Genomic DNA, 22,115 nt, shown 5'->3' with positions numbered 1-22,115 from the left:
TGCCATATACTGGGATAATCCCATTATCTCATTTAATTATCTTTATGGTCCTATGAAATGTAAGTACTATTACCACCATTGAGAAAACAGACTTAACAAGAAGATTAAGTTATATTCCAAGTCATACAAAAAGTGGTAGGCCAGGATTTGAACAGAGGTCTTCTAACTCCAGATGCCCAGCTCCAAAGCTACGTGAACCTCCCTTCTTTGTAAAGATAAGTAGAAGCTGTGGGCCTCCCCAGTCACATAGTAAGTACAGGGAATTCGTGGTCCCCACCTCTCTCACTCATGTGGGAATACCTAGGATACCAGTATCACCCTTGGCTAACATGGGAGACAAACGGTTAATAGATGACAAGCACATAGGTGTTTCTTTCAATGGCAGAGTTTCAACTTGAGGAATATATAGACTCCCAGCTTCTGTCATTTCAGTCTAATTCTTTGGCAAATATTACCACTTGTTTTTATTTCTAGGAAGCCCTGAAAATGTCTGTTTTACCATACCAGAGTTCTTAGACCCAAGTATGTAAATGTTTGTAACCATGGATGCTAGGCAATTTTGGCTTCAATCAATCAAAAACTGTGGTCTTTAATATATAGAATAATAACTTTAAGGAATTCTGTGAATAAGCTCACTTTGACAGCAGCATTAATATCCTTTCCTCACTGTTTAAGCTTGACTTTTCATTGTGGTAACAACCCCATGAAATTTCCATGGTCTGTAATTACAGTTATAAATCTTATGTCCTGCTGATGCTACAGGCCAAATTTAAGTAGTCTCTATTGTTTTTTTAAAAAAGTATTTTTCAATTATTTGAATTATAAAATGCTCTTTTAAACATTTCAAAGAGTACAAAAGTGTTTAAAATAAAATGAACCATCTTCCTTTCCTTCCCTTCTTTAACTACTATGATGATGACCATAGCTTAAATCCTCCCATACATTTTCTGTACTTTGAGACGACGCATACACACATATTTAACAAAAGGGGATAATAATTATGTATACTGTTCTGTAATATGCTTTTCTTGCTTAACTAGATATTCTGGTCAGCTTTCCAAATCAACACATTCAGATCTATCTTAATTGTTTTAATAGCTGCACAGAAATTCATAATATGAATGTATAAGTATTTATCATCTATTGATAAACATACAAGATGTTTCTATATGTTTTTTGCTATTAAGGCAATGCTACAATGCATATATTAGTACATATATTTTATATACTGTCAGATAAGTTCCTAGAAATGAGACTTCTGGGGTTAGAACTCCTAATTTTTACCAATCTGCTGGATAAAGAATGGTATTTTGCTGTTTTCATTACTGGGTCAGAGAGTATGTACATTTAAAATTTTCATAAATATTGCCATAATACGTTCTCAAAAAGATAGTAGTTCCAAATGACAGACACTTTAAAAATTTAAGCTAAAAAAAGAGCTTTATTAAAACATATTAGGTAGCTTCAGTGGAAACACTGCTGTTATTACACCTTACAGCTTGGTTGTCATCACCCTGGGGACGGGTTGCCAAAAGGTTCGCCATAGACTTCCAGAAGAACCATCACCTTTGCCATCATGTCTGTCAAATGCTGAGAAAAGCATATTAAAGTTTGCCATTGTGATTATGATTCCTATTAAGTTTTCCGTGTGTTTCAAAGAGATTTTTACCTCATATAATTTAAGCTATATCTTTGCCACATAATGGTTTCTGATTGTTAATTTTTCTTTGTAGTTTTTATCTTTTTTCATAATAAAAGATTCTTAAGTTTTGTATTTTTATATTAGTTTTCTTCTCTTGCTTTTTTTTAGTTTACATTTGCCTGATACATAATCTGGGCCAATTTCTTAATTTCCATTTATTTCTTGTCTCATTCTATTAGTCTTCCTTGATAAGAATGTTTAAGCTACTCATTTTTATTATAATAACTTGTATTTTATCATGCTATATTAATATTATTTTCTGATTACTTTTAATTCTGCTTTTCAATTTTTTTTTTAACTTTTTCATACTTGTATGCATTAATTATGGTTTTAAAATATCCCATTTCTGGCCAGGCTCAGTGGCTCACGCCTGTAATCCTAGCACTTTGTGAGGCCGAGGCGGGCGGATTACCTGAGGTCAGGAGGTTCAAGACCAGCCTGGCCAACATGGCGAAACCCTGTCTCTACTAAAAATACAAAAAAATTAGCCAGGCATGGTGGCGCCTGCCTGTAGTCCCAGCTACTCAGGAGGCTGAGGCAGGAGAATCGCTTGAACCCAGGAGGCAGAGGTCGCCATGAGCCAAGATCACACCATTGGCGACAAGAGCAAGACTCCATCTCAACAACAACAAAAAAATCCCATTTCTAATGAATAACTTACAAGTTTTACTATTATATTCTTATTTTACTAGTGATTTCTCTTTATTTTCATAGTTATTTAAATATATATATTTCCATATTGGCAGAATGGAACTCCACAGATAATATGAAATTCTATCCTTCATCAAATGTTTCACTATCTTGTTCTAAACCTTTCCTTATGCTTCTTCAATTAAACAGTTTTGGCAATGTTTTTATCTTACTTACCCTTCTTTGTCCTTACTCCCATCCCCAACTCTTACATGTTAATTATTTAGAATTTAATTCCAGGATGTTATTAAATGCTCCTCCTGTAACATATTTGCTGACTATTCCCATTTTTTTCCAAATTAATACTGCCCTCATACATTATTACTCATCTAGAACTAACTATTTACAAGAATCATTGCTCACCACTATTTTTATGACCTGTCTTCTGTTATTTTGAGGTCTTTGTACAGTTTTAATTTTTATTTCAGTGCAGAAATATCCTTGAGTAATTTCTTCAGAAAGGATATTGAGATGTTATACTTTTTAGCTTAATGTTTTCTGTCTTTGCCTTTACATTTACATGATATATTGGACGAGCATAAGATCCTTGAGTCAGTCTTTTTCTTTAGGAACTTTGTTGTTGCTTCACTATATAGTTGTTGTTTCAACAATTTTGTGTTGTTTCACAGTTTCACTGTGACAGTTTGATGTTAGGTTGATTCTTTTTCCTCCTCTGTATAAAAGATTATGTCACCAGAATCTTCTTTCATTACTTTGGATAGGACCTAAAGGACCCTCTCAATCTGAAAATCTATGCTATTTGTTATCACAGAGCAGTTTTCTGCTGTCATTTCTTTGATTGTTACTTTTCTATTTATTCCTTTTTCTCTTTCTAAAATGCCATTATTTGTATATTGGAGTCATAGATCTGAGATCTGTGAATTTGCTATTCATGTCTCATATCTTTTTGCAAATGGTTTCCATGTCTCCAAGTCTTTGTTCTCTATTGTGAGATATTATTTGTATTGTTTTGTCCAGAATATTAATTTAGTTCTATTCATTGACTATTCTTTGGTTTTGCTGTTGAATTTTTAAATTCAGGAATAGTGTGTTTTTCTTTCAGATTATTTTTTTCTGTGACCTAATTGCATCTTCTTACGGGGTCTTATTATATTTTGTTGTTGTTATCGTGCTTGTCTGTCTCTTCTATTAGTTCTGCTTCAATAGGAGCCACCTATTCTTGCTTTTTCAGCTGAATCCTTTTAAATGGGTTGTAATTTTTCTTTGCCTACTCTTACCCACACAGATCAGGCTATCGTTGACTCTTGAGAGTGTTAAACTAACAGGTGGTGGAAGGTAAAGTTGGAGATTTTGGTGAGATGTCTTGGCAGCCAAATGAACTGGAAAGCGGGCATGTCTTTGCTGAGGCATGGATGGCAGGGCTGTTTTCAGACCTCCTGAGGGGAGAAAAGGCTGTACTTTTATAAACCCTGTAGTTCACATCAAAGGCTGCCAGCATCATTTTAATGGGGAAACATTTTAAGGGACAGTAAATTACAAGTGGGAAGAGAAAGTATGTCTCAGCATGTTGAGAGGGATCTATTTACTAAGCAGGTAGGGCCCCCTCAGACAGATGAGAAATCTTTAGTCTTGCAACAAACTACTAGAAATACAAACCTTCACTTGGACGTGGATCACTTGGGAACTATGAGATGCAAATAATGATACCAGAACCTACTTTTTTATTCTCTGAAGAACTCAAGTGTTCATATTTACCAGTGGTGTCCTTGATTCTCCAGTAGCAGACCACTCTTCTAGCTGAGCTGCCGCAACAAGTTACTAGAAGGAAGAAGAGCTCGTGACCATGCTTCCAGGCCATTGTGAATCCCAGTTTCTGAATTTTATGCCAAAATAAGGCTGAAGAATTTTCTTTGTTATAAGTTGAGTAATTGAAGAGAAAGGATCATCAAAATGAGTTGGGATATTGGTGTAAAAAAGATCATGCATGTGTAAAAATGGTATTGTGAAAATTTACTTACAGAGTATAAAATGTTGCACTTGCCCATTACAGAAAGAATTTTTTTCCAATAGAAAAGTTTTGAGAGACATTTGTAAAGTAACTTAAAAATTATAAGCCCTTGTGCTTTCATATTTCTCACTTAAAAGAAGTTTAACATGTTTAACATCTTACCTCCTGATTCTGACTCGACCTTGGCAGATATAATGGCTTGCGTATAGAAGTTCTAAAGTCAATTTTCTACCAGAAATATGAAGTCAGATCAGTCCCCTGTGTGTGTTCAGAAAGTGGGGATGCCCGCGGTTGGCTTGGCAACTAGGCAGGTGCAAACTTCCTGCCACAGGGCAGTTCTCGCGAAACATCACGAGGTAAAATGATGCTGTTTTAATCCTCAAAGACCTCCCGTTTGCATTTGATTTTATTTACAGATAGCCTTGGATACCAGTTACTGGACTTTCATTAATCACGTCTTCATCTGGGGGAGCATTGCCATTTATTTCTCCATTTTATTTACAATGCACAGTAATGGCATCTTTGGCATCTTCCCAAACCAGTTTCCATTTGTTGGTAAGTGAGTCATGTTGACTAGTGGAACCTAGTGTCTGCTGCTGTTTACTTGTCTTATAATTTATTTTTTGTGTTAGGTAGAGCTGGGGATGATTAGTGATCCTTTGTCCAGAAATTGTTTGAGCCAGGCATCTGAAGGCTTCCGAGTTTAAAAGTGGCTCTAAAAGCTCAGTTTCTGCTGTCTCTACTGGATGCAGAAGAATCACTCACAGTAGCTTACAGGTTCTCAACAGCTTACATGTAGTAGGCTGTCTCTTTGCAAATGAGAGGCATAGCACATACATTAGGGCTACCTGAAGACCTGTCAAATGCTCATATATGGTAGAGAGAAGAAAAAGAAATACTAGACTCTCCTTTTATGCCACATTATCACCAACATCTGCCAAAATTCACCCATAGAACTTATTTGCATTTAGATAAGAATGAAACAATGTATAATTTAGAGCCTTCTAAAAATTCCTGGACATTAATCCATAAGTGGCATGAGGAGTAGGCTTTGTAGTTAGTCAGTCAGGGTTCAAGCGCCAGCTGTGCCACTTAACAAGCTGTGTGACTTTGGGCAAGTTTCTTCTTTCCATGCGAGAATATATAGGAATAAACAAAACTCAGTTTCTCCTATACTCTCATTCAGCAAGCAACACAGAAGACTTCTGTGACCTCTGGTCATCGAGAAGTAGGGATTTCTTCCCACCAACAACCAATGAGGTGTTTCTGCAGAGGACCCCAGCTGGATGTTCTCCAATTCAATTCCGGCAATATCTCCTTGGAGGGAGTGTCAGATCCTACAAGTTGAGGGCTAAGTTCCGCATGACTGCCCCCACACTTCCAATGCTAGTAGCAAGCCACAGGATGTTTTACCTCTACTTTTGGCCAGCTGGCTATAAATTGGGGTTTCCCCCCAACCCCCTCCCTGGGTTTGATTAATTTCTAGAGTGGCTCAAAGAACTCAGGGAGACCCATTTACTGGTTTACTATAAAGGATATTACAAAGGATACAGATAAAGAGATGCATAGAGCAATGTGTGGAGGAAGGGGCGTGGAACTTCCATGCCCTTTCCAGGCATGCTGCCCTCCAGGAACCTCTACATGTTCAGCTATCTAGGAACTCTTTGAACCCTGTTCTTTAAGGCTGTTATGGAGGCATTTTTTATATAGGCATGACTGATAAAGTCATTGGCCATTGGTGATCAATTTAACCTTCAGTCCCTCTTCCCTTCCAGGAGATTAGAGGCTGGGGCTGAAACTCCCAACCCTCTAATCCTACCTTAGTCTTTCTGATGAGCAGCCCCCATCCTGAAGCTACCTAGGGACTTCCAGCCATCAGTCAACTCATTAACAAATAAAAAGACACATATCACTGAGGATTTCAAGGAGTTTTAAATCTATGCCAGAAAACAGAGAAGAAGACCAAACATACAGCTCACAATATTATACTATGCATTAATGTCTTCACTTATAAACTGAGGATATTAATAAGCCTATTTTCATGGAAAATTTATGAGGATTAAATGAAATAATACATATAAAGCACTTAGCATGTATCCTGGTACATAGTACTTTTTAAATGTTAACCATGGTGATGGTGATTATTATTATTCATGCAAATGTGGCTCGATTACTGGTGGGAAGATTGCAGAGGAATTTGAACATCAGATGAGTAGCAAAGGACCCTCTAAAATCCCTTAAAAAAGATTCTATTATTCTACAAAGAGTATACCTCTGGTCTATGTATAGGGTATACCATCATTGCACTCCACATTTCAAAATGATTCCCAGCAAAGGCCACTGAGCTTTATAAAAGAGGGATATTAATATACTTTCTCAGAGGTTTTGAAATCTCTAGTGTGTGTGAAATAAGCTGCTAACCGAGTTCATCTAAACAAACTGGAAAAGAGAGATGCGCAGTGACCAACATTCTTGAACTTAATCAGGCAAGAGTGAGATTTGTATCCACTAATTGAGGAAGTAAATTCTTGGACTAATTTATGTAGAAAGCAAAATAAGACCACAAGGACTAAAATAGGATTATAAGGTTAGTAAGGTTACAAATCCACATTGATGCAAAGGCACCTGAAATTGTAATTCAATTTAAATTCACGCATACACTTAAAAATGTTCTTCACCTTTTGCCTTTTCCTACATGTAAATGGAAATCTTTAAGTTGCACCACTCTTACTTAATATGTACTGGTAATACGTTGTTTACCAAAAGATTCCAACTATGTAGAGACATGTTGGTCATGAGTAAGAATGAGCATATTGGGAAACAAAGACACCAAAACTATTTTTGTTTTATTTTTTTAAGATCGTTTGCCAAAATGAAAAGTTCAGTGTATTGACTAGAAGATTTCCAGTCCTAAGAGAGCACTGTGATGCATAATGAGACTAGAATGCCTCAACTGGAGAAAGTAATTTGTGCAGGGACCACTCTTTTCCAGCTAAGCACAAGCCATTTCAGTAATTAATTACTGAGCTCCAGTGAAATTTTTTAAAAGTTAGATCAACATTGGGGTTTCAGGAAAATTTTTTTTTTCCTTAGTAGCTAGCAGCAAACAGGAGTGTGGTTTCAAAGTGAAGCTTGTTTTCCCAGCCATGCCTGAGGGTACCAAGCTTCAAGGAGCTCAAAGAGACATTTAATTGATTAAGTCAAGTTTGTTTCTGCCCATGGCTGAAGGCAACTGGAATCAGCTGCTCTTGGGTAGGCAGATTCCTGTCTCTAAAGCCAGAAAAAGCAGACATACCATTCAGTAGCCAAGCCCTCATACCCAAAGCGCATTTGAATGGTGGTAAGCTTTGAATACTGGGATAGGGGACCTGGATAACTGGGGGTATGATGATAAATCTCTAGAAAATGAACAGGGACAAAAGTTTATTTTGGTGATATAAGCAGGGTTGGCATCTTCCCATGGAGCTTGTCTGCCTGCCTTACTGACCCGTATTGCCTTGTTTAAACCCACAATGGGGTATGTGAGGTGTGAGTAAAAAGTAAGGAAACTGGCTTCAGGCTTGGAAATGAGTTTCACTGTCCTATTGCCCTAGCATGTTGGATGGCTGCATCAACAGTCTCCTGGTGAGGGAATGTTCTTTTCACAAACCCAGGAGCCTTCTTGATCTTGGAACTTTGAGGACTTCATAACCAAGTGAACAATAGAGAAATAACAAGTTCCTCTGAGGCAGGTTTTCTCGGGCCATTGCCTGAAATTAAAAAGTTGGTCCTGCAATAGATAAAGCTCCCCTTTTATGACAAGCCAATCAATGCGATCATTACTTGAGATTGTACCTGCATCTGGAACATTTTTTGTGTAGCTTTGATGTGATAGTTTTAATTCAAGAGTCCACAAGGGTAAAGGGTAAATGTGCCTTTTAAAAATAATGGCTGCTTTGTAACCACAAGATCTTGATGCTGGAAGAGAGAATTGTGCTCCGTGAGTGATATTAGACTGAGCCTGGGTGAGAGAATGCTTGGCTCAGGCTGGTAATCTCTAAGTGATCAGGCCACTAAGCCGTTCCTGAGGGTGATCTTAGCACTTCTGCCTTCTTATCATCATGGTGACATTAGGTGATCCAAATCTCACCATTGAAAAAAGATCTTGGCCAGGCGTGGTGGCTCACGCCTGTAATCCTAGCACTTTGGGAGGCCGAGGCAGGAGGATCATGAGGTCAGATCGAGACCATCCTGGCTAACATGGTGAAACCCTGCCTCTACCAAAAATACAAAAAAAATTAGCCGGGCGTGGTGGCGGGCACCTGTAGTCCCAGCTACTCAGGAGGCTGAGGCAGGAGAATGGCATGAACGCAGGAGGCAGAGCTTGCAGTGAGCTGAGATCGCACCACTGCATTCCACCAGCCTGGAAGACAGAGCAAGACTCCATCTCAAAAAAAAAAAAGATCTTGTAGGAACAAAGAACCTATTAATTAATAATTCAGTCCTACTTGTAACCACAGTGTATATTTTCTTTAATGATTGATAGGTAATGCACGACATTCCCTGACCCAGAAGTGCATCTGGCTTGTAATTCTCTTAACAACAGTGGCTTCAGTTATGCCAGTGGTGGCATTCAGATTTTTGAAGGTGGATTTATACCCAACCCTGAGTGATCAGGTATGTCACAGTGCTGATGAATACTTGAAGGCTGGTTTTTGGCTCTTGAAATGGTGTCCTTTTCTGCCTTATTGGAAGCTCAGAGATGGGCTAATGAAATTGTCACAAGCAAACACCTACTGGTGCATGAGATCACATCAGAATAGATGGGACTTCCCACATCTTGAATGTACTAGTCCTTAGTGCCATGAAGAGAGGCATCTATACTAAATGTGGATGGGGAGTCATAAATTACAAGTTGAACTGGGTATTTTAAAAAGCTGACTTTTAAAAAGAAGATCACAGGCATCATTTTGGACAATTTTTCCAAGGGAAAGGCAAGCTATAGGAAAAGATACTGATTTGAGGGCAAGTACAAGCACAATAAAAGAGAGACAAGCATGGTATGAGTCAAAGGGGCTTAACATTTTTGTAGAAATCCAGTAGCAGATTCAGAAACATGGGTGAGATGTTACCTTCTGAACAGATTAAGAAGGGGAAGAGCAGCATGCTGGGTAGATTAGTACACTTGGAAGGAAAATAGGAAGAACAGGTTATAGAAATTCCTTAACTGGAGAATTAACAGAACATATTTCAGAATTTCATGGGAAGAGGAGTAAGTAGGACAATATCAACTTAGGTCAGGACTCAGATAAAGCGTGAAAAGGAGAAAGGGAGACAAACATTCATAGCCATGTCATGAGAAGGGGGAACATGCTGCTGTGGTGAGTGGGACCAGGCCAGTGATGCTGAGAGAGACTGAGGTAGGTAGGTAGGTAGGTAGGTAGGTAGATAGATAGATAGATAGATAGACAGACAGACAGACAGACAGACAGACAGACACACACACACACACACACACATTTTTTTTTAATCATGATGTCTCTGACATTTTGGGACCAAAGTGTAAAAAGATTCCTTCCGGAAAAATTCGGAGTCCCTTGTCATATCTGTCCTCTCTCTTTGGTTCTCCAAGCTCATTCTGACATAAACCCAGAAAATGGCGGATGAGTTAAGGAAGGAAGGATGTGCTTGTTTGTCCGATAAGTTTGATCGTGATGTTCTGCTTGATGGTTTTCTCCTGACACAAAAGTCAGGATCCAAGTGATTTGCCAAACCAGAGAACAAGGTTGCTTACAACAAACCTCAGGTCTTTTTCTCCTTAGCTTTACAGGGAAATGAAAGAGTACAGCAAACCTCAGGTCTTTTTCTCCTTAGCTTTACAGGGGAATGAAAGAGTTGTGGGAAACCTACTCACATAATAGGGAACATTTAGAAAGGCCATACAAACCTAAGAAATCAAAACCCTGGAAGTCTCATGATACGTTGAGCTACCACAAGAATTGAATATTTCTGACTCATTTTCTGAATTTTCTTCTAGTCCAGTTACTGACAACTGTTGGATCCAGAGAATCTCTAAAAGAGAGGAAAAAGGCTGTTTTGGGAGAATGAAATTATAAATTATTATGCTGACTTTGGGCGGTGCATGTTAGAAAATCTTTCTATACAAATGTATGCTCATATGCATTGAAGATACATGAGAGACAATAATGAAATTTGTCTGATATTTCTTAATTACTTAATAGTGTCTCGATAGAGATAAAAATGGACCAGTGCCCCCCCAGTGTTATCTTTTGGGTGGAAAATTTCTTAGTTTTTAGATTTAAAACTTCCTTTTGCAATGTTGTTTTTACTTATAAAAAAAAAAGGCTTTCACTTTACAAAGTGGGCCACTGCCTGGAGTCTATCATTTGGATGCATCATCTCACTTTGGGTCTGTTTCTCTCCAGATCCGCCGGTGGCAGAAGGCTCAAAAGAAGGCAAGGCCTCCAAGTAGCCGAAGGCCTCGGACCCGCAGGTCAAGCTCAAGAAGGTCTGGATATGCTTTTGCTCACCAAGAAGGCTATGGAGAGCTTATCACATCTGGAAAAAATATGCGAGCTAAAAATCCACCCCCAACATCAGGGCTGGAAAAGACACATTATAATAGCACTAGCTGGATTGAAAATTTATGTAAGAAAACCACAGACACCGTGAGCAGCTTTAGCCAGGATAAAACAGTGAAACTGTGAGTCAATATGAATTTAAACCACGTAGTTATCTTTTCACTTCAGGTGGAGCTGAAATTCTGCTGGCTCCAGAGTTTGAGATTTGAGGCAAGAGGTGGGGCAGGCAGATTGCCTCACTTAACTTAAATCTGCGGCAGACAACTGCCAGTGCCCATCAAACAGGAGTGTGCGCTATGGAAAACCAGGCCAGAGGGTCACTGTCTGGTTTGTGATTTGGTGGACAAAACACTCGCTGTTACAAGTACAGATTTTTTTTTTTTTTAAATCAACCTAGATACCAATTGACCTGAACTTTAGAATCTTATTTATGGAGAAAAACTTGTAAAGCTGCATATTCACTGAATGGATCCTCAGGCGGATAAAAGGGTGCATTTTAAAGGTATATATCCAAGCTGAAAAGCATGCCTATTGACAGATAAACATGTATCTGTAAGATCAGCCTTTCCCAAGGTATACTTTTAAAATTTAAAGCGTGTACTGTGTTGCTTTCAGACTGAGTTGCATGTCACTCTTTAGTCTTGATATCTACCTGTCTGTTCAGCCAGGACAACAAATGGCTTCCAAGCCTGAAGAATACAAAAGTGTGCTTGTGTTTCTCATTTTTATACCAGTCTAGGGACAAAGGAGACTGAACATCTTTGCAGCAGGATAGGCTGGTAATTTGATCAAATTTATTCAAAAAGCTCTCAGTCTGTGTCATGTAAGGACATGCTTATGAAATGTGAGAGAGGCTCGCCACTAAGTATTCTAAATACTTTTCAATGGCTTTTCTAACAACCTCAGTAGTAATTTGCTGAGCATCATCCAGACCATTAATAGAATCAGCAAAGCACTGGAATTTCACACTTTAATGATAATATTCCACATAGTCTATGGGCAAATATTTTCAACATTTCCAATTTTTAAAGCTTCAGAATTGAAGCCAAACAAATTAATAAATAATTGTTTTAATTACTATTTAAAAACTCAGGTTTAGATTGTTTAAAATTAGTTGCTTTTGATACTCAGCTGTCATGTTTATAATTCAAACATGTAGTAAACATATGTAGGTAAGGTTGTTTTTTTGGAGATGTTGCAGCTCAAATTTCAGTCCACATATGAATCATCAGTGTATTTTCCATAAAGTGATTCGGGCATATTTGTGTGAAAACCTCAGTTCTGTCACTTCTTACCTCTATAAACTTGGACGATAATGTGCCTTCTCTGAGACTCAGTTTCTTCCTCTGTAAAATGAGGACATACTACCTACCTCATGTGGTTGGTTGATGATTGTCTGTCAAAGCACAAACTCTGAAATTATTAAAAACATAATTATTTCATAAACAGATGAGTTAAGTTCCAGTTAACTCAACATCAGTATAACAGAGCAATTGGAAGAGAATATGAAAAAACTGGAATCTAAATAGTCAGTGAGGAAGGCTTTGATAAAATGAAATTGCCAGAAAGATATAAAACTGGTTAGGGTCCTACAGGGAAATAAAATTATAACCGTGGAGGTACATTTCTCTACCAGAAAGCAAAAATAAAGCATCATGTCTTAATGGTTTTCTACAAATCAACTTCTAATTCTACAGAGTCCTTAATCTGGTCCCTATTAAATTCTTGGTCAGACAAAGTTACATTTCCCAAGAGAGTCAGGTGACACTTGAGTGAGTTTGATGGATAATGAGCTAATGTGATATCTATAGGTCACAATTTTTTAAAACCAAAATTTTCAAGTCTGGGATAATCTTTCCTAAATGGGATCAAATGAAATAATATGTGTAAAAGAGTCAAATGCAGTCCTTTACCATAGTAACTGCCTATGGACGTTGTCTTTCCCTTACATGCCTGCCTACACTTAACCAGATGTTGGTTTTCAATGTCTAATTTGTCATTAGTTTCACCACATTTGCTCACTTTTTGTAACATTTTTGCAAGATTTGAAAACTTTCAGTAAATGTTTTGGCACTATTGGTACTTGATGTTTTATCTCTTCTTTATGGGAAATTCATTGGGGAGATTTTTGTTACATTAGTCCACGGGTATTTTTTTCTCTCCTTTACATGCTGGGGAAAATGTACTCATTCTTAGAATCAGAGTCAAGAATAAAATGAAACAATTGGACCTATGTGTAAGGGATAGGAAAGATTAGAAGTGGTCCAATTTTGCAAGTCCAGTTTAAATTAAATAAGGCTGTTTATAAACAAATAGTGTGGATGATTGTGAGAGAAACATATTATCAGCTTACTTTGGCCCCATGAGATCCAAGTAAACTCACACACCCATTGCGAGATCATTCAATTACAAGCGCCAGGGATTATTTTGAACCTGAAGATGAAAAGTGATGAGAGGTGGGTAGTGATGGTGGGGGCACTGGGGAATAATAACATTTTAATTTTACATAAATGTTATCAAATTATTTGGAAAGAAAAACTATTTTTTCTAGATTTAAGCTGATAATCTTGTGTTTTTAAAATCTCAGCCCAAGTTTTGAGCTATTATAGGTAATTGCAAATTGTGTTTCCCTGACTTAGCTCTGCTATCTTTGGCTCTCTCCTCTGCCTCCAGATGTATATACTTATGAAGGAAAGAAAGAGAGAGAGGAAGGAAGAAAGTAAGACAGATAAAGCAAGAGAGGAAAAAGTAATGGAGGAAAGGATGGTGGGAGGGAGAAAAGAGTTTTCCAGTTATATGTTTTTTTGAGATAATCTGACTCTCTGAAAAATAAATGTAATCCCTCAAAGAAAAAAAAAGTGGATTATATTTGACTCTTGAATAGTAAAATTTCCTTCACATCTTGTGTGAGAACAAGAAAATCTTACCAGAATGGGGGCCGGGAGCCCTGGCTTCCTGTCACAGTGATGGTGCTGATCTGTGTGAGCTGGGGCATGCCACCTGACTTCTCCAGGCCTTGGTGTCCTTGTCCATTGATAGAGAAATTGGGACAGGATGGTCTTAAAGCCCTTTTCTCATTTACCCAATCTGTGAGCTGTTCTTGTCAGTGTTGTCTGTTGTGTATTTGCAATTGCCTTTGTTAGAGAGACAGATTTTCTATATATATATATATATAGAGAGAGAGAGAGAGAGAGAGAGAAGAAACTGACTTGGATGTTCTCTTGAGGGCAGGGCCTGGCTCTTCAGGCTGTTGTACTGGTTTGTATTTCTCTAGACTAGCCCCTGATGCACTGCTGTCTCTGGCTTTTCTCTCAGCTCACCACAGAGCTGCTAAACCCTGTGGTGGCATTTTACCTGGGTCAGTTGAATGCTGTTTCTTGTTAATGATTCATGAAGGTATCTCCACACCCTCCTTTCCTCTCTCATCATTTTGAGTAACAAAAGTATCCAGATGTGAAGGTAAGATACTCATGTCCTGTTAAGAAGAGCTCATTTAAAAGTCCTCCCTACCTTGAATCTGGGCTTAGAGGAGATTCTTTGAGCCTTTGTTCCCTTGGGACCGAAGTTGAAGCAACAGAGCTTGAACAATTTTCTTCATAGTTATAGAGCACTTTGCAGTTTGTGTATCATTCTTACATAAACTGTATTGTGTCTGTGTAGATGTAAAGTGTGCAGATTTAGGGAAAAGTGTAAATAAATGTAAAAATGTTCAGAAATATATGTTTCAAATGTTCTTTTACCTTTCAGTGCAAATAAGAAAAATCTCCCTTCCTTCCTTCCTTTCCTACAGCATTTAGTGACGTCAGGTAGGTGTGGAAGGCAAAGGAAATAAAAATGTCTCAAACTATTTCTAAAAAGTCACTAGGAAATCCAACTAATGAGAAAAGCTCTACTTCTGATTTTTATGGTAAGAAATTGAATTACTCTGTTAGTGTGTGCACAAAATGCCTCAAGATTGATATAATCTAATTATCTCAGTTATATGACTCAGAATTATTATTTTACACTACAAAGAGTAGGCACAAAGTTAATAGTGTAGGAATCCAGGAATAATGATGACTTACAGACTTTGTGATGGAATTCTGCAGGCCATGGGTCAGATAACCGTGTGGGGGGGGGGGGTCACAATTTTCCAATTTTTACATTAACATCTGGTATTAAATGTCTGCAGTTTGCTCTACTGCGTCACATTTCATTCCTTGGTGAGAAATCATAAGCTTTTGCAATTCTCTAGCCTAAGCCTTTAGCTGAACTGCCTGGAAGCCAGAACTAAATGACCCACGTATTACCAAATGTGTATTGCAAAAGATTTGGAGGACCTTGCTGGGCTAATCTGTAGTTTGGGGCTATGACTTAACCCTATCTGTCCTTGAATTTCAAAACTTCCTGGCAGATCTATTCCTGTAACTGGTGCAGAATACAAATCAGCTTGGAGCTGCATACATAAACATCCAGATTTCAAGAAATAATAATGATTAGTTGGCCAGATATCTCTGGCTATCTCAATTCAGATTCCCATAAGGTTTATAAGGGCAAGTTAAAATTTTTAATAAACTGCAGCCCTAGACTTACACAGAAAATTCTTACTGGAGCAGGATGCATGGAGAGATGATAGTTAACTTGGAAGTAAAGTAATGATCAAGAAGAAATCTAGTTGTTTCACCCCTTGTAATAAATGTTTCTATACTCCCTGCCTTCTTCTAGGTAAATGTGAGCAATGATTAGGATGCTTCTTTAACAGCTGATGATTTTCCTTCTCATCCCCTTTCTGTCTCTGCTCCAGTATGTGACACTATAGAGATACAGGGAAGTATGAGATAATGCACCAAGATTGGACAGAAATAATAATATTGACCCCAAAACATCCTCAGAAAAGGTTTTGAATAAAATTCCTGTTACTGAATTTCTTGAGATAATGTCACTTTCATTAAATGACTACTGAAAAAGAATAAATTAATTTGGGATTATGATTAGTGACTGGGGGAGATATTAAGCTTATTTAACAAACAGTTGGACAGGGACACTGACCAATAAGAATGAACATGGGCCATCAATGGCTAGTCTTGCCCCACTGCTAATGGCAGCTGGCACTCTGACCTATTTGGACCACGTGATAAGTCACATTTGAAACTATACCTATTTTTCTTTATGAGGTGCCTATTTGGTCTAAACCAGATAAAAACAGCAAGATTTTTTTTTAAACCAAGTAACACCAAAAACACTATAGGGCAGGTCAAAATATTTTCCTGGTATCGTTTTGTGTGGTAGCTAATAGTTTTCTGAAGGTACGAGATGATGTGTTTTGAACAACAGGAATAGTTTCTAACTGCATATTATTGACAAAATATGTTTAGGTATTGTGTATGGTTTTTTGTCTCAATGAATACTAACATTTTTAATTGAAATATTTTTAAAAATATATATTTTACAATTATAATATAAATAATTGTGGTTCATAGTTTGGGAGCTTAGTTAAATACTTAGGGGTAGACAAGATGACCAGAATTATCTTTTTGATTGACAGGCAAGACTTTGTTTTACGGTTCCATTTCTTCCTCAAAGTTCTCATGTATGGTTCACACATAGCTTACATCTAGTAGACCTCTCAGATGAAATGTACTAACAAATTTAGTTCTACTGGACTAAATTTAAAATTAATAAGTGAATCAATCACTTAATAGAACACTGAGTGTGGAGAGGCCACGGTACAAGATAAATAAGAAATGGTTTCTTTTTCTTGCCTTCGGAGAGGTTCTAACCCAGTATCTTTCAACCATGCATTATACATACCACAGTTGATGGAATCTAAAATGCCCCCTTGTAAATGATGCACCATTCATTTACATACCACGGGAAAACAAGAAGAATATTGCCGCTTAGAGTTGTAAAGATGCCATTGGATGTAAGATTTACTTCTAATTTCAGAGATGTTAAATTATGAAATCTGGTAAGTATTGGATTGCAGGAGGTTTAAAAATATAGTTCATGTCAACTACTTTTTTATTGTATTGCTGTACAGGAAGCATGTCAGCATCTGCTTCTGGGGAGGCCTCAGGAAGCTTCCAATCATGGCAGAGGTGAAGGGGGAGCAGGCACATCACATGATGAAAGCAGGAGTAAGGAAAAGGGAGTGGGGAAGATGCCACACACTTTGAACAACCAGATCTCCTGTGAATTTATCACCAAGGGGATGGCCCAAGCCATTCATGAGAGATCCACCTCCATGATCCAAACATCTTCCACCAGGCCCCACCTCCAACATTGGGGATCACATTTCAACATGAGATTTTGGCAGGGACAAATATCCAAACTGTATCAGGACTAAGGACCAAGCCCTTCTCTGTCTCTTGGGACTAGGTAAGACCTGAAATTCTTATACGCTCCAAGGAGATGGAATGGACAGACTAGAGGTTCAGAGCCAGTCTAATTTGATATGAAAAGGTAAAAAAATTTGATACTTCTTACATCTCAGTTCTGTAGAAGAAACTCAAACCCATTGTGTAATTCTTTCACTTGATATTTGGTATAATAGTCATGGTCATCAGCTCATTCTGAGCAGGAGTGCTAATGAAGGATGTGTGTCTGTCAAGTCCAGGCTGCTTCATACAACTCTTGTGCACTCCACCCTCTATCCCCCCATCATCCTCACCCCCAGTTCTTCCTCCTATTCCCCACACTGTGGTGGTGTTGTTAATTCATCCACCCATTAGGCTGAAATGCAGGATATCAGGCCCAGGCCCCTAATTGCTGTTGTAGACTGGATACACATTCTTATCAACTCCCTTTACCATGGGCTTTTTTCTCTGACCCTCTGGTAAGTGGCCTGGGACCTTCTCTAAAATAGCATCATAAATCAGCCAGAGCTGGAGTGGTATCACCACAAAATGAAGAAGGAGATGAGTAGAGTACCTTCTACACATCCTCACCCTGGGTGGCTCAAAGAGGAACTATGCTTGTCTGAGTACCATTGATGATTGAGATAGAATTGTAAGGTGGGTGATCTGTCTTGCGTAGCCTCCTTCACTCTAATCTAATCTTACCACCTAACATGCCCTTCCCCATCTAGGTTACTCTTCTAAGTCTGCCTCAGTTACCTGCTGTAACCCCTTTAAAAGTGTTCCAGGTGATTCTCCTGCATTCGCCCAGGAGACTATGTACATACTTTCAACTTGATGCAGGAACTTCCTTCAGAATAAGCCTGCAGATGGCATTCAGTCTCTGCTCAGATGTTCCCAATGATGCAGTGCTCATGAGCTCAACGAAGCCAGCTCCCTTCGAACAGCTCCATTGGTGAGGAATCTCCTTCTTCTTTTGACCTGAGGTCTGTTTCCCCATCATTACCCTGCATTGTTTGCCTCTGCCCTTGCAAAAGAGACTGAATAAGTATCTCTCATGTGACAGCTCCTCAAATATTTGAAAATAGTTGTTCTGTCCTTTGAGTTAAATAGCAGCTTTTGTTGATTGTCTGTAGTCTTTAAATTAGTCTGTAGTCTAGATAGTGTGAGTTGGAATAGTTCCTGACCTCAAAAATGTTTTGATCTTCCTTGGGGACCTTGTCTAGATCTGGGAAGGAGTACCTTGAGGCTGAAAAAATATGAAAAAATAAAAACTGAGGAAAAGGTGGTGGTGGGAGAATAATTTCCAAAGAATGGCAAACTGATACCCAAATAGTCAAGGGGATTTCTCTAACACCACTTCTTAGTATGGGATAGTCCCGAATGTCCTTGGCATAAAAGAATTGATGAGAACAAAATCCAGCAACAAAGAAAAAATGTTTTCATAGTAAAAGAAAGGACTTGAGCATCATGGGGAGCTGGGAAAGGGGAATATTTGAGAGAAAGTCATGGGACAGATTGAGTCGTAGGAAAAAAGTGAAAGAACATTTATACTCTGTATAGTTTGACCACCTAGGAGAAGGAGGGGAAGGAGAAGCCAGGGGAATGGCTGACACTTTAGAAAGTCCATCGGTTACCTGTGGGACTGTTAGCAAAGATGCCTTCTCTAAGTGCATTTACCCACCTGGAAAATGGGGATCATGAGATGTTCCTTGAAGGATTGTGAGGATTACTAAGTGCTGGGTATTGTGCTAAGCCTCATAATAATTAGCTCATTCAATGCAATCTTCACAGCAACCCAGTGAGGTAGGCACCATTATTTTCCCCATTTTAAAGGGAAAGAATCAAACCCCAGAGAGGTTAAGTAACTTTCTCAGAGACGTATAATGGAAGAGCTGGGATTCAAACCCCAGGAGTGGCTTGTGCTCTTAACCCAATGCTATCTCTAGTTGACACTTAGGTCATAGATTTGGTCTTTTTTTTTTTTTAATTTTAACTTTTATTTTAGATTCAGGGGGTAGATGTGCAGGTTATATAGGTATATTGCACAATGCTGAGGTTTGGGATATGAATGATCCTGTCACCCAGGAAGTGAGCATAGTACCCAATAGTTTTTCAACACTTGCTCCCTTCCCCTAGTAGTCCCTGGTGTCTATTCTTGGCCATTTTTATATCCATGAGTACCCAATGTCTAGCTCCCACATATAAAGGAGAACATGAGGAATTTGGTTTTCTGTTCCTGCATTAATTTGCTTAGGATAATGGCCTCCATCTGTATCCATGTTGCTGCAAAGGACATGATTTTCTTCTTTTTTATGGCTATGTAATATTCCATGGTGTATATGTACCACATTTTCTTCATCTAATCCACCCTTGATTGGCATGTAGGTTGATTCCATGTCTTTGCTACTGTGCATAGTGCTGTGATAAACATACAAGTGCATGTATCTTTTTTGTAGAATGATTTGTGTATATACCCAATAATGGGGTTGCTGAGTTGAATGATAATTCTGTTTTAAGTTATTTGAGAAACTTCCAAAGTATGTCCACAGCGGCCGAACTAATTTATATTGCTACCAACAGTGTATAAGTCTTCCCTTTTCTCCACGGCCCTGCCAGCATTTGTTTTTTGACTTTTTAATAATAGCTGTTCTGACTGGTGTGTGATGGTATCTCATTGTGGTTTTGATTTGCATTTCTCTTATAAATACTGATGTTGAGAATTTTCTCATGTTTGTTGGTCACTTGTCTGTCTTCTTTTGAGAAGTGTCTGTTCATGTCTTTTGCCTACTTTTTAATGAAGTTATTTGTTTTTTGCTTGTTCTGCTGTTTAAGCTCCTTATAGATTCTGGATATTAGACCTTTGTCAGATGCATAGTTGGCAAATATTTTCTTCCATTCTGTAGGCTGTCTGTTTACTCTGTTGATAGTTTCTTTTGCTGTGCAGAAGCTCTCTAGTTTAATTAGGTCACACTTGTCAATTTTGGTTTTGTTGCAATTGCTTTTGAGGACCTAGTTGTGAATTCTTTCCCAAGGCCAATGTCCAGAATGGTGTTTTCTAGGTTTTCTTCTAGGATTCTTATAGTTTGAGGTTTTACTTTTAAATCCTTAATCAATCTTGAGTTAATTTTTGTTTACGGTGAAAGGTAGGGGTCCAGTTTTATTCTTCTGCATATGGCTAGCCATATAAACAAAAATTAAATCCACCATAAACAAAAATTAAAAATAAAAATTGACAAGTGGGACCTAATTAAACTAAAGAGCTTCTGCACAGCAAAAGCTTCTATCTCAGCACTGTTGATTGAATAGGGGGTCCTTTTCCCATTGCATATTTTTGTTGTCTTTGTCAAAGATCATATGGCTACAAGTGTGTAGCTTTATTTCTGGGTTCTCTATTCTCTTCCATTGGTCTATGTGTCTGTTTCTGTAGCAGAACCATGCTGTTTTGATTACTGTAGCCTTGTAGTATAGTTTGAAGTAACATAACGTGATACCTCTGGCTTTGTTCATGTTGCTTAGGATTGCTTTGGCTATCTAGCTTGTTCTTGGGTTCCATATGAATTTTAGAATAGCGTTTTTCCAGTTCTGTGGAAATGACATTTGTACCTTGATAGAAATAGTATTGAATCTGTAGATTGCTTTGGGCAGTATGGCCATTTTAATGAAATTGATTCTTCCAATCCATGAGCATGGAATGTTTTTCCATTTGTTTGTGTTATCTATGATTTCTCTCAGCAGTGTTTGTAGTTTTCCTTGTAGAGATCTTTCAACTCTTTGGTTAGATGTATTCCATGTATTCCTAGATATTTCATTTTTGGGGGGGCTATTGTAAATTGGATTGTGTTCTTGACTTGATTCTCAAAGCTTGAACATTTTTGGTGTATAGAAATGCTACTGATTTTTGTGTGTTGATTTTGTATCCTAAAAGTTTATTGAAGTTGTTTATCAGTTCCAGGAGCCTTTTGGCTGAGTCTTTAGGACTTTCTGTCTATGGAATCATATCATCAGCAAAGAGAGATCATTTTACTTCTTCTTTTCCTATTTGGATGCCTTTTATCTCTTTCTCTTGCATGATTTCTCTAGCTAAGACTTCTGGATTCATTCTTCATAGTTTCTGGTAGCTTAATTTTTGGTCACAAATGTGCACACTTCCTATTAAGGCTCTTCTTTTTTATCTGATTCCCTTAGACATTCAACACCCTTCAATATTTCTTAGCTGTTTCTTTATTTTCTCAACTTCTAAGCTATGAGTCAGTTTAAGGAAAAAAAAAAGAATTTTCTTTGAAAGTTACCTTATCTGCTTTTGTTTCTACAGGAGAAAGTCAGAACCTGACTTGAGCTAACACTAGGCAAGTGTCCATTTTCCATGGACCCCTGCTTTGGTGCTTCTTCAGATACATATGCTGGAATCAATCACTGTAAATTCTAAGCAAGTTGCTTTTTGCCTATAATAATTTTATAAATTATTCAGCATTCATACTATACTATATAAATATATATTTATACATATAAATAATCAATCACTGTAAATTCTAAGCAAGTTGCTTTTTGCCAATCATAATTTTATAAATTATTCAGCGTTCATACTATACTATATAAATGTAAATATATATTTATACATATAAATATGTATAATCTGAAAATGTTATATATAACTATAGTATGAATATAGTATATTAATATTATATTTTTGTATGATCACCAAAGTATTCTTTAGCTGGGTCAGCAGGAAGGGGATGCTTCAGATTTTTGAGTCAGGCATCAGAGGCCTGAAAGTTTGAAACACTTGTTCACTTTTGATTGCTGGCTTCCAGTTTTTGGTGCAGATCACTGGCAAA

At 37.8% G+C, this 22,115-nt stretch overlaps 1 protein-coding gene across 43 annotated transcripts in view; it reads left to right on the top strand.

Annotated features, from left to right (window-relative positions):
* The window catches only part of ATP8B4 (ATPase phospholipid transporting 8B4 (putative)), a 323,617-nt gene extending 310,593 nt beyond the window's left edge, over nucleotides 1-13,024 (top strand). For 42 of the 43 annotated variants that reach the window (NR_073597.2, NR_073596.2, NR_073598.2 and 39 more), the window contains 3 exons: nucleotides 4,778-4,916; nucleotides 8,887-9,017; nucleotides 10,787-13,024. Coding sequence is in view for 40 of the 43 variants with exons in the window: in XM_011522056.4 (XP_011520358.3) it covers nucleotides 4,778-4,916; nucleotides 8,887-9,017; nucleotides 10,787-11,068 (552 nt within the window). In the remaining 3 variants the exon portion in view is untranslated. The other variant, XM_024450068.2, reaches the window with a different exon arrangement.
* Nucleotides 13,025-22,115: the final 9,091 nt, after the last annotated feature.

Source organism: Homo sapiens, chromosome 15 (genome assembly GCF_000001405.40).
Source record: "Homo sapiens chromosome 15, GRCh38.p14 Primary Assembly".
In the NCBI taxonomy this organism is placed as follows: domain Eukaryota; kingdom Metazoa; phylum Chordata; class Mammalia; order Primates; family Hominidae; genus Homo; species Homo sapiens.
The sequence above is the reverse complement of the archived record's forward strand: the minus strand, read 5'-3'. Positions and strand labels throughout refer to the sequence as shown.